General features: G+C 34.1%; 1 pseudogene; it reads right to left on the reverse strand.

Annotated features, from left to right (window-relative positions):
• On the reverse strand, positions 8,890-11,481 carry ADH5P4 (ADH5 pseudogene 4; annotated as a pseudogene).

A 14,634-nucleotide genomic window follows, 5' to 3' on the forward strand; every position in this document is an offset into this window, starting at 1 on the left:
TACTGCCAATTGCCACATGCTCTACTCTCTCCCTACTGACTCCTCATTCCTGCCTCATATGACCTAGATACCAAGTACTGCCTTTGTGACTCACTGGACCCTCCTTGCCCAGAATCTGAAAGTAAAATCTTTGAACTTGTTTCCTGTTGTGCCGGTGCATCAAATTTGTGGCATCCATCTAAAGAACTAGGGGATGCCCCAGGCTGAGATATCGCCAGGATGCTAGGAGTAACACAGCGTCAGACTCTCAGCTTCAGAGCAATGGTCAGGCAGACATAAGCCGAACATGGGTCAGTCAAGAGCCACAGGGGCATCTGCCAGGATAAACAAGTTTGCCATGTGAGGGGTCCCCGGTCATGGGTTGTATAACTGCATGTTAGGCTGGGTGCCAGATCAAAGCAGTACCCTGTGAAAGGCACACTGTAAGCACTCACATCGAGTCCCTTTTCATTTTCCTTAGGGAAGGGTTGCTAGCTGCTCGGACACCAGAACCCCAATTTAGCTGGGGGCTCACAAAACAAAGTATTACTGGATTATTCATGAAAGCTGTTACAAAAAATTTTCACACAAATGTTGTGGTTATTATTTTAGACAAATTATGCCTGAGAGAGAATCTTATCTGTACATGTTTATATGAGAACTGATTTCTCTAAAATCAAGAGCATTTTACTGTCTTTCCTATAAATAAGAAAATGTACATTTTCCCATAGGACATAGTAATAAAACTGATAAGCTCTAACCACACGCTGGACTAGGGCTTCCTAACTCTGGGGAACAGACAGCCTATCTGTGAGTGCTGGATTCAGAATAAGTATCTTTCATATAGAATGACAACCAAGCCCCCAAAAATCCAAGTCATAGAACTCTAATATAAAAACTCCAAGTCCAAAGTATTTTAAGCTTTAGAAAGCCTTTTCAAGAGATAACCTGTTAGAAGAGACAATATGCATGTTCATTGTCTGTAATTTTGACACTAATTTAAAACATTAAAGGCTGCAATGTTATAAATGATATACACGTTCATTTCAAATTTTCACCGTACTTGATATTATGAAATGAGTAAGATATAATCCTCAGTCAACTGTTCTCCCCAAACTTACCTTAGTTTGTAAACACAAAGACATTATCAAGCTTTCAAGGAAAATAAATATTTGATATTTTCTTTCAGAATGCTATATTCTACTCCTTATAGGTTCCAAATCTTCTTTTCAATTATTAGATATGATATTTTGAAATAATTCTGGAAAAGGAGAAGGAATAGTTATTTATCCATGTATTCACTTTTTGTTTGTCAATCTCTACTACAATATTGGCCATAGACACTGAAGAATTTTAGGAGGAAGTAGGGGAGAGTGTGATGTGGCAGGATGGGGAATGAAAGAATGTGCCATAAATGTTTTGAATTACATGAGCCAGAACTCACTTTTAGCTGCAAGAGTAATAAATGTCACTAGAACATGCTGTATACCATCCTGCATTTCAATATACATTCTCCTTATTTTTGAGTGATTATCTAACTTTTTACCAACTTTCATTTATTTAACAACTAATATTACCTCAGGATTGAATGAATATATTAGACAAAACAGCAAGATAAAATTACAATGCAAAGTAACAAATACCAAAATTTATTCTAGATTTTAAAATTTTCCATTTTATTAGATTTTAAGTGATCAATATCAGGATTATTATATGATAAGATATTCCATTAAAATTCTATTAGCTGAAGTTTTCAAGGGAGAAAGATACCCCAATATTTGAAGATTGATTTTTAAAGAAAATAGTGAGACTGATATTTGATTATTTGATTATGAATGTTTTATATATACTTTTATCATATGTATTAACCATAATGGATATAATAAATAGCAATTACATATTTATAGTTCCTTTGAAAAATTAATTGCAGTTTTCTTTCAGTATTTGTTACTAATTAGATAACAGCAGAAAAAAGCTAATTAAAAGTACATATAAGAAGTATTTTCAGAAATAGTAATGGAATATAACCAATCTTGCTGTCCAAAGAAAGCAAATACAAATAATATAAAAGTGTATAAAATCATGTTCAAAAATGGCATTCATTATAATCCAAGAAATAAAATAAATATCCATGAGTAAATAAATAAGTGGTGGAGAAGGGACAACTCTTCTTTACAGAAAAAAATTCAATACATGAATGTGTAAGTATTGAGAGAAATAGATCAGGATTGTAGAATTACAGCAATAATTGCAATAGGCAAGATCCACTGATGACTTCTAAAATTACTGACTAAAATTCTAAAGAGAAATAAAATATTTGCATAACCTACAGCATACTTTCGGATATAGTCTGTAATTACTATGGCGATTTTAACATACGTGCAAACTTCTCAGATTATTCTCCCTCCAAGAGATGGAGCTGAAGTCCCTTCCTGAGTGTGGGTTGAATATAGAAATTCACCTCTAATGAATTGAGTATGAAAAGGGGAAAGTGGTAAATTTACACTGCAGAACATCGGTAGATACTGCCATAATCAAGTGATCAAGATCAGCATCACCTGTGATAACACATATTGACATCATGTGTCCTCCATATGTGATGAGGATGGCATTTCACCTCTCTGATATCTTTCCTCCAAATCCTTATCTTCTGTGTAATCATGAGAAATTCAAAGAAACTCAATTTAAGCAACAATCTAAAAACCACCTGAACATTATTGAAAAATGTTTCCTCATGAAATGTAAGGTAAGACTGAGTAACTCTTACCTACTGAAGGAAACTAAGGAGCCATGACAACTAAATGCAGTGCAGAATCCTGGCTTGAATCCTGGAAATATCCATTAGTGAAAAACTGGTAAATCTGAATAAACTCTGCAGTTCAGTTGATAGAATTGTACCAATGTTACTTTCTTCATTTTGCTTATTATAGTTATATATATTATTATAGTTATGTAAAATTTTAACATTAAGGAAAGCTGAGTGAAACATATTTGAAACTCTCTTACCATTTCTAGTATTCTGTAACTTTAACATTATTTTAAAATAAAGAAGTTTTAAAAAGAATATTCAGAATCATTGTTTTATTAAACATTCTTAAAAGTTTAAATTCTGTAGTATCACTACAATTCTTGTATCACCTGACAACTAAGATATCCCTGCTATATTTTCCTATATCCTGCCTGGTGTCCTCCATTACATGTTTCTGTGATCATCTGTTATATGTCTTCTGCATGGTGGTATACAGCGTCAGGAACAATTCCTGATTCACAAAGGCCTCATCATTTATATAATAAATTTATGTGAAATCCATTCCCAAATATTTAGAAGGAGTTCATGTTGGGTTTATTGCATTTAATGGTGTACTCAATATTGAATTTATTTGATTCAGAGGAATGAGAAGAAAACTATTTCAAAATCAAAATGACATCATTAGTGTACTAAATTGATTCAAATTAATTCTGTATATAGTATTTCATACACAAAATAATTTGAGAAAGGAGTTTTTGTAATTTAATATAAGGTAAGATCTTTAATTTTTCACAATCTCAAATAATTGTATTGAAATACGTTATAAGCTATACATCACAAACAATATTTTAACAGAAAAATAAATTTTTATACATGTACATTTTTTCCAATTTGAAAAAACTAATTAAAGTCTTCCAATATCAATCTCTAATCCTCTGGGCTCCTCTAACAACCCATTATACTGTAACATAGGAACAATACAGTCATTTTAATTATTTCTAAACCTACTGAGTACTTTTATGATTATTTTAAAATAAGCCACCTGACAGTGTTCCAATTGTCCTGAGAAATGAAGGTTCATTAGTTTGAGTGAATGAATTGTTTAATAGTGTACTGATTCTTGCCTCACAGGGAATCTGAGGAAGTAGATATGGAAATTTCCACATAGATTCCTGTATTATTCATAAAAAATATATGTAGTTTTACCAAAATGTATGAGTTTAAGTTTTTACAAATATTAAATAATAAATTTCAATATTATCTATGCCTTTCAGAAATTTGATTTATATGTTTTTAAGTACAAATAATATCTCAGTAATTTCCTCCAGAGTTTTCTATGTTCTAAGGACTATACTTCCTTCATGTATTACTCTGTTATTTGAATGGATTGTTTCTGATATATATGTTGATATTTGTAATAGAAATAAACATCCATACAATGTAATGAATTGGTTTTTAAAAAGAAAATGCTTCATTTTAATTTGTGTAAAAATAAAGAGAAAAGAATTTGTTAGAAGCAAAGTGATATTAAGATTTCCAGTACTTGTGAAACATAAGATTGTTGATGATGATCATGATGATGCTTTTGAAGAACACGATAGTAACAAAGCTAACCTTTGACTTCTACACTGTGAGCTTTACAATGCATATGAGGAGAAGGATTGCTTCTATCCCTATTTCACGAATGAAGGAGAGAAAAATGCAGTAAAATTTCTGAATTCAGAAGACAAAGATTGAAAGCTATGCTGGGATATGATTCCACAAGTTTGCCTAGTAGGTCTGGGGTAGTTTCAAACGTGTGTATTTTATACCACACCCTGTTTTTGTTTTTTACAGTATTTATCTTAGATAATGCTGATGTACTCTTCTAACATAGAGTACATATTCAATAAATATTTACTGTTGAGCTATTGATATGTTTTGGACATTGATATGTCAAAAAGCCATCTTGACTTTTGGAATTATTCACTTTATGACATTATCGATTACGATAATTGGAGCAAGTGCTACATGGGATTGTTGAAAGGGGATTCTTGATGAGATATACAACTCTCAGTGCTAGGCGTTGTTGTTAAGGCTGCAGAAATGAGTTCAATACATCATCCCATGGCAGAAACACTCATTCAGTAATATTTTCAGGCTGAAAAATATTCTGTATGACAATACTCTAAAGATTATAAAAACAGGGTAGAGTCATGAATTTAAACATTTTCATTGCTAGAATTAATTGCTATTGTACTATGTTGAGGCCTTTACTTTCTTCTTAATGAAAGAAAATGGTAATTAATATATGTTTTATATAAAGAGTTGAGTAAGAACTTTTGCAAATTGTATCCATTTTCAGGGAAAGAGATTTAATTTTTATTGTATTACCCGTGGCCTGGTGAAGTTGTAGCAGTAACACTGTATCCCACCCTGGGTTAGCTGCCCTGGTGTTTTCTAAAGATAACTAGAATTTTTGTACCTTTGAAAACTGGTTCCTGGTCAAATATCTTTGAAAAGTATACCCAGTAAACTTTCTAGATACTATCATCAGCTAATTGAATTTAAATGGCTATTCTCTTATTCCCTTAACAAGCTTTCCCAGTATATTTCCTTCTTGGACTTTCATAGAATGTAGCAACTTACAGGGAAAGAAAAAAGAACTGCATAACTTTAAAGCATAATAATACTAATAAAACAAACTTTAATAAGTATGATGAAGAGTCTTTGTATGGAAAGAAACAAAGTTGTGAGTGTCATAGTAGAGGCTACTTGTTAGAAAGCAAAGATTCAAAAAAAAAAATAGGTAGTAGCAAACTTGTAAGAGCAAGACCATAAATTCTGATCCATCGTTTCTTTATCAAATATTACAATCAGTTTATCTGCCCTAACAGTCTTCCGTAATTCTGCTTGCATCTCTCTCCTCAGAAACAAAGCCTAGGAGAAAGGCAGAGCAGAGTAAGTTCAATTCCCCTAAAAGCCATTACAAAACGATGAGGCAGCATGATTCAGTGGAGAGGGTACAGGTTTCAGAATCAGATATACCACTCTCTGGATCCTAACTGAAGTCATTGCCTTGAATAATACTCTTGACTGTAAGCTTCAGAACAATATTGCAAACCATTCTAATCACCTGAACATACACATATACATTAAGTTGAGGGCAAATTTATGAAAGAACACTGGAGTTTTTCAAAGAAATATAAAATATTGATCAGCAGCAAATCAAGAAGTGAAGAAAAAAGGCAGATGCAATTCTATAACCTTTATTTATCTATCTAACATTGATCTAACTTAGTTTATATTAGTTCTCTGTGTGTCTCACAAATTGTAGAGCAAGAAAATATGATTGGTTACACCTATATTTAAACTTACCTATTCATCTGCAGTTAGGTCAATAAAATTTAAAATTTGTGTCACATTAAATGCATAAATGGCTTCTGGAATTCTTTTAAAAAGAAGTGCATAGTTTTTGCAAACCCTTTAATAGTGGTCCACTGCATTTGATTTATTAGCTGCTCAGCAAACAAGTTTATTCTCATTTATATAAATGTCCAAAGATGACCCAATTTAATATGATCTAACTATTTCAACTATTACATTATTTCAGTAGTGACTACCAATTTGTTCATGCCTCTCTCTATGACCCTTTTTATAGTTCATTCAGGCTGCAATGACAGAACACCACAAACCAAATGGATTACAAACAACAGAAATTTGTTTCTCATAGTAATGGAGTTGAGGAAGTCTCAAGAACAAGATGCTGGCAGATTTGGAGTCTTTGTGGACCATTTTCTGGTATACAGATGGCTGACTTTTCTTTGTGTCCTCACACAAGGAAGGAGTAAATGAGCTTTCTGAGATTACTTTTGTAAAGGGCACTAATCCCATTAATAAAAGCCCTCATGACCCAATCTACTCCCAAAGGCCTCACTCCCCCAGTACCTCATACTGGGAATTAGGTTTCAACATATGCATTTGGGGTGGGACGTGTTTACTCAATAGAGTTTCTATATAATATGACTTTGACTGACTTTCCATTTAAAGAGAAGTCTGATTCTTCATCACCACTGGTCTTCAAAGGCCAATGCCATTCTTCATGTTTACATTGGGCTGTTTATGTTGGCTGTCAGCTGAGAGTTCAGCTGGTGTTGTCTATGGCAGCACCTAGGTATGTCCTCTCCAGCATGGATGTTTCAGAGTCATTCTTCATGGCATTGGCCTTTGTCTTGATTTTGGCAATGAGAGATAGCAAATATGATGCACACAGGGACTTGAAATGTTCCTTTGCACTGGTACTTGGCTTCTGTTGATAATGAAAACTCTTCATTCATCACATGAACAAGACTGGGCTAGAAGAATGAGAGAGGCCCTTAGTCTTCTCAGACATTACAGTTCCTAATCTCCACAGACACTGAGGTACCTTAGACCCTCCAGCTTCAGCTTACCTGGACCAGAACTGAAAAACTGCCAGAACAATATACAGAATCATGAAGAAATAATAAATTTGTATGCTTTAACTTGCTTAAAGTTAGAATATCTTGTTTTGCAGGATAAGTTAACTGATACAGAAATTGGAAGTTGGGTACTACATAACCAAAAATTCTAAAACATAATGGCATATGATTTGACATGGTGGCTGGAACAGGATGAAAAAACAATTTGGGAACTCTAAGAAGACTGAAAAATGATGAGAACTTTGTTAGTAAACGTGAAAAAGTAGTGAGGAAACATCTAAACAGGCTTAAAATATGATGTCTCATATGAAATAGCAAAACAATTCGAAAATTGTACCCTATTGGTAACATGGAAGATGGAAAAAATCTAATGGACATGTAGATATTGTTAAGGCTATTTCTCGGCAAAATATTGAAACATTGTATGGGAAGAAAGACATGAGTGAAAGAAAACAGTCTGCAAGCAGAATTTAGAGGAAATATAGAAGATCCAGAGTTTGTCTACATGGAGATTAAAAACTTTTTCATCTCCATTCTTTCAAAAGCAAATATCCTTAAAGTAAGAAATTATGAGATAAAATTAAATCAAGGGAGTGGCTATAAGTTCTTTAAAAATATTTTTGAAAGATTTAGTGGGGGTTAACTTGCAGACCTTCTAAACTAGGCAAAAGAGCTTCCAGGAATTTTAAAGACTGTTCCATAGTAACCTGATACATGTACCAAACAAGAGAAAGGCATATCTTGAAAATAACTTATCTACATGGTACTTAAAAAACATATAGGCATAAGATTTTGGAAGAAAGAAAAATGAATGGTAGAGAAGACAGTTAATCGACAAATGATAGAGCTATAAAAATTCCAATTTTAAAGGGGAAATGAGTAAAATAGAAGGCAGATGATGAGTACATATTAGGATAATTCTGGAGCATGTTATGGTAAGGCTATGTTCCAGTTACCTTTTGCTAGATTGCAAATTACATTAAAGCTTAGATGTTTAAAACGAGCATCTTATTTTGTTCATCATTTTGTGGGACAAGGATTTAGTGAGATTGACTGGAAGTTCTCATAGTCTCTTACACAATTTAAAGTCAGATGTTAGCTATGGTGAAAATTCAACAGGTTAGGGCATCCAAGATGGCTCTCACACTTGCCTGACTGTTTATATTGGCTGTCAGCTGAGAGTTCAGCTGGTGCTATTTACGGAAGCACCGAGGTATGGCCTCTCCAGTATGGACATTTCAGAGCCATCAGACTTGTTACCTGGAGACTGCATTTCTAAGAAGAGTGCTTCAAGAGAAATAGAGAAAAGATGAATGGCTTTTTCTGGTCTGTACTCAATATAAATTTCTTCAGCCATCAGAGTGTGAGTTCTTGTGGTATGGGTTGCTAATCATGATGAGGTGAAAATAAATTATTCCAGGTCAGGAGTGCTATTCTTTATAAACCCCATAGAAGCAATTGACCATACATTTTTGGGTCTATTCCTGGACTCTCAATTCTGCTCTGCTGGTCATTAATCTAATCTTTATGTAAATATCACAGTCTTAATTAGTGTAGTTTTATTGAAACTAATTTTTCTTGGAATTAGAAAGCATAAGTCATTTAAATTTGTTGTTCAATTTCAAAGTTGTTTTGGTATTCTTAGTCCTTGCATTTCCATATCAATATTTGAATCAGCTTGTCAATTTCTACAAAAAAAAAAAACTGCTGAAACTTATTTTCTTTATTTGACTACATTAAAACTTTATTCAACAAAATACCATAAAGTAAAAAGAAAAGTCACTAGATAGACTAGAAGATATTTGCAACATATAAAACTGACAAATGATTGATGTCTAGAATAAAAGAACTCCTAAAAATTACTCAGAGAAAAAGAAATAATTCAATACAAAGTTGGGCACAGGATATGAACAGGTTCTTCACAATAAAATGTACATTAGAATGAAGGATTTAATGAGTAATTGTGGAAAATGCAAACTAAACTCATAATAAAACACCATTCTACACTCACGTAATTCACAAAAACTCACATTTACTTTGAAGATAAATTTGGCAATGTCTATAAGGCTAAATGTGTTTATTCTGTGATACACATCTTAAGTAACTAATGTAGTGAGCCCAATGCAGAAGAATGTTCCACTACAGTGTTGTAATACAGAAACTGGCAACAACTTCATGCCTTCAACTGGAGAACAGATGAATTAAGATAGTTCGCGTAATTGAATACTGCTACACAGTACTAAAATTAATGAATGAAAGCTTCACATATAATTATACAATAATGAGTGAAAAAAAGAAAAGCTGTAGAATGAGCAAGTATAAGGCTTAAAAATATATAAAACAGTACTAAAGAGTAGATGGTTTAGGTTATACACAGTGAAAGTACAACAACACAGGAATGACAAACATCAAATTTTGGATAATTGTTACCTCTGGAGGGGAGGAATGGCAATGTGATGTGGAAGTGGCAAAATGTTAAGATTTGACAAAAGTAGGTGCTGAGAACTTGGATATTCAGTATGTAATTCACTATACTAGAAATAGTACAGCCACAACCAACACACACATACACCTATTTAAGTCCAGAATGCTGTTTCAATAATACATTTTAGTGTCCCCTGAGGGGCAGATGCCATACTAGGAATTTGGGGTACAGGCACGAACAAGGCACAGTACCTCCCTTCAAGATAATATCACAGAAGCAGACTTGGCTCCTGATTAACTTTGTCACTGATGGCTAGGATCTGTTCTTCAATCAACGGGACTGAGACCCTTAAAACTTCAACGAATGTTTCTGAGGTTTCAGACACCCACCACTGCCCTGCTTCCTTTACATTTCCCTTACAGAATGAAGATAATGGGCAGACAAACCATGACAATGATTACAGCATAAAACAAAGACAATTTCTACACAAATGTAGAAATTACTTTTATTATGTTAAAATATTCCTTAATAAGCTAGCAATTATTTATGTGGAGGAGCGTCCAGAAAACAGGTCCATGACTGAATTATCCTTGTCGTTGATTATAGAGATTCATGAATTACACTCATAACACTATTCTCTGGGGTAGCTGCGAAGCTCTACGAGGCTGTGAGTTTGGAGGCGCTTCTCCCTGCCTGTTAAGCTGCTCCCATCACATCACGACAGGTTGGACATTATTTTTCTCTTTTGAATTAAATCTTTACAACAGTTCGAATGCTCTTTCCAGAATGCATCAGTTGAAAGGCTTTGTTAATTTCACCAAAAGACAGATTGTGAGTCACAAATTCATCAACTTTTATTTTTTTGGACATATATTCAGACACCAACTTTGGGACACTTTCTACACTCTTCCATCCTCCAAAGGCAGTTCCTTTCCATGTGCGACCTGTTACCAGCTGGAATGGACGAGTGGCAATTTCTTCACCTGAAGCAGCTACTCCAACCACCACGCTGACTCCCCAGCCCTTGTGATAAGCCTCAAGTGCTGCTCTCATGACCTTCACATTACCAATACATTCAAAGGAATAGTCCACTCCTCCATCAGTCGTCTCAATGAGCCCTTCCTGGATGGGTTTACTAAAACCCTGAGGGTTAATACATTCAGTGGCTCCAAACTCTTTGGCCCTTGCAAATTTATCTTTATTGATGTCCACACCAATGATCCGGGATGCACCAGCCACTTTACAGCCCTTGATAACTGCCAATCCAACTCCTCCCAGACCAAAGACGGCACAAACAGAGCCAGGTTCCACCTTGGCAGTGTTCACAGCAGCACCATCACCAGCTGAAATGCCACAACCTAGAAGGCAGAGTTTATCCAAAGGTGCTAAAGGATCTATTTTAGCAACAGAGATATCAGCTACAACTGTGTATTCAGAAAATGTGCTGGTTCCCATGTAACGCAAAATTGTCTTTCCTTTGCAAGTAAATCTGCTGGTACCATCTGGCATTAATCCTTTCCCTTGAGTGACTCTTATCTTCTGGCAAAGGTTAGTTTTAGGATATAGACAAAATTTGCATTCTCCACACTGTGGGATGTAAAGTGGGATGACAGTGTCACCCGCCTTCAGCTTAGTAACTCCCTCGCCAACACTTTCCTCAATTCCGGCACCTTCATGTCCCAAGATCACTGGAAAACAACCCTCAGGATCAGCTCCCCTCAGGGTATAGGCGTCGGTGTGGCAAACCGCAGTGGCAATGATCTTGATTCGAACTTCATGAGCCTTTGGGGGTGCCACCTCTATCTCCTCTATGGAGAGAGGCTTTCCAGCCTCCCAAGCAACTGCAGCCTTGCACTTCATAACCTGGTTCGCAATGTCTACCGATTCTGAAACTTATTTTCAGATTGTGTTGAATACAGAGACCAATTTTCAGAGAACTGAATTCTTAACATTATTGAATCTCCCAAACAATAAACACAGTATCTATCCCCATATATTTAGATCATTTAACATTTGTTTCAGCAATATTCCAGTGTTTCAGTACACAGAGAATGCACATCTTTCCTCAGATTTGTCCCTAATTATTTGAATGCTTTATAATACCGTACATTTAAAATTTTCAATTTGATTCTTAATTTCTAACGTATAGAAATACAATTGAATTTTTATATTGACCCAATTGACTGCAACTTTGCAAAACGCAAACAATCGTTTTAATAACTTTTTTGTAGATTCCATAGGACTTTCTACATATATAGATGATCATCAGTGTACCTCCTACAAATGTGGGAGGCACAGAAAAGTAGGACAATATTAATAAATTCATATATTTTAAAATCTCGATTTGTTTCGGCTCCTCACTTTGTCTGGACCTTGCTCAGAAGATCACAGATTGCCCGGTGAATTTTACGATCTATAAACTATACCATTAGTATAGTGCCTCATGGTTTCTCTGTCTCTCTCTCTCCCCTACTGAGACAGCCAGGTGGGAAGAGGTTCCCAGAGAAACTCCAACCAGCCTGCGCACTGAGAAGAGTTCACATTGGGGTGGAGCCACAGAACTTTACATCCTTTGCAGTGGGGAGGATCCTGGCCCCTCCTTTTCTTGGGTGGAACTTGGAATTCAATCTGTGAGGCTGGAAACCCACTGGCAGAGAAACACATACTCTCGCTTTACTAACAGTCTCTGTTTCCTCTTTTCTTCCTTTTCACCCAATAAAACCCTGCTTTACTCACCCTTCAAATTGTCTGCAAGCCTAATTTCTCGTGGCCGTGTGACAAGGACCCTGTCTTTAGCTGAACTACAGAAAAGTCCTGGAATGCTACCACCTGTTTTTCTCAGAGAAGAAAAATCACAGTCATGGTGACTTGCTTTCCTTTTATTCAGATAATTTCAACATAGGCCATTTTTTGGTTCCAACTATTTCTCTTTAGTAGCATTTTTTCAAAGTGTGATGCAAGGATTCCAGTGAGTCCTCAAAACCTATTCTGTGGGTCTGTGAGATCAGATATCTTCGTAATACTAAGATGTTCTCTTTTTTTTGTTTCTATCTGTCACAGATCTATAGTGCAGTGGACACTTTTTAAAGTGGACGCTTAAAGTGATTTTACACCAGATTGAATGCTTTCTCAGATATGAAGATCCAGCAGTCTTCTATTAAGTTGTATATTAAAGTAATTTGAGAATATGTAAAACAAGGGCAGTTCTCCCTATAACATTTTTTGTTGTTGTTTGGAAAATATTATTTTTTACCAAGATCATGTTACTTTTGTTAATAGATAGATTATTGTTATTTTAAAATGAATTCATTTATAATTATTTTTAAACATTTTGATTTAATTTATTTTATGGTAAATATCCATAGATATAACCAGTGGTGTGCTGGAACTAGCTTTCCTGGGCTTGTGAGATCTAATTGTGCACATGTCTTTCCAATTGTTTGTTCAGTGATATCACATTGGTAGTCTGACATTGAAAATGGTAGAAGTATTGACATCACAACAATCAGTAAATACAGCAAATAAGGTTTGTTCACCCATTTCTTCCCCGAGAGCCTGTTGTTAAATATTTATCACATTACTGGATAAAACCCTCCTGATCAAAATGTCTTTCGATTCCTTGGAACAAAAAAGTTTGAGAACAATGGCTCCATAGCCATCAGTGCAATGCCAGCTAATATCGGTTTGAAAAATATTAACTTTTATTTATAGAATATCTTTTTTACCAATTTTCAAACCTCTTTAGCAAATGTGTAGAAACATATGGGTCACATGCGAACATTGTTCCAAGCTTTGCTTTAAATCTATGCATGTCTAATTGATCTGATACTGGGGAAATTCAACCATTAACACTATGGCTCTTCCAATAAAAGTTTTAGATGCTCATTTATTGATAGAACAAAAATCAAACAAACAAAAAGAATAAATCCACTACACTTCCCTAAAAAGAAAAACAAAGGAAAGGACAAACCTGTTTTGTTGAATCTTTGCAGAGAATACAGAGATGTATTTTCTTTGTTCTAATACAATGGTACAAAACCAATCCATGCATTATTTTAGAGTGGCTGAGTCCTTTATTTAAAATAATTATTCGCTATAAAATAAAAACTATGAACTTTAATTTTAGTTCAATCACCTACTAGATATTTGAACTAATTGACTCTTAGTGGCTAAATGACCTTGGCCAAGTTATCTGTACCAGTTGTAAAACTGCGATAATTGTACCAGTACTGTCCAAATCACAAGACTATTTTAAGTATCAAATGAAAAAATTAGTGTTAAAATACTTTGTATATAAGACAGTGTTCTGTAAATACATTACAAAATAAAACATTAATATATGCATAATGTTATAAAAACATAATGGAAAATATAAATCATATAAATACATATTTAAGTAAGTAGGAGGCAATACTACCCAAATATGTTTATTGATATATTAAAATTTTTGTTTTATTAATATAAAATTTACCTAGGATATTCAATATGTAAATTCCCTTTTTTCTGTAAAAATTAAGAATAAATATTATGTTTTCTGTTTTCATTAAAATACAAAAAATAAGGGATTACTTACCAATACATATCTATAGGTATTAATACAAAAATAAATGTATGAACTTGTATCTATTGCTACACTTTTATTAGTAGTACAGAATGTCTTTTTTACTACAATAGTAGTCAAAGAGCTAAGATTAAATTGTAATCAAATTCTACTTATTGTGCATGCTAATAATCTTAAATATTTCATTTTTAAATGAACATTTAAGCATAAAGTTTCAAATATTGAGACTAATACAACTTGAAACTAATACAATGTTATTATCAGAAACTAGCACAGTGCTAGGAATTCATAGATTTATTAAATACTGAATTCCAAGTTGTTGAACTTGGGAATGAATCTGGATATACTACTTTATTATTATTTTTAAATGGGATTTTGAAGTATGGGTACTTTATATTCTGAGACAGCCAAATAAACATGCATTTTAAATTGGTAAGCTAAGGTTTACAACACTTACAATAAAACTCATTTTTCATGGGAT

The sequence above is a fragment of the Homo sapiens genome, chromosome 6 (genome assembly GCF_000001405.40).
Source record: "Homo sapiens chromosome 6, GRCh38.p14 Primary Assembly".
NCBI lineage: Eukaryota > Metazoa > Chordata > Mammalia > Primates > Hominidae > Homo > Homo sapiens.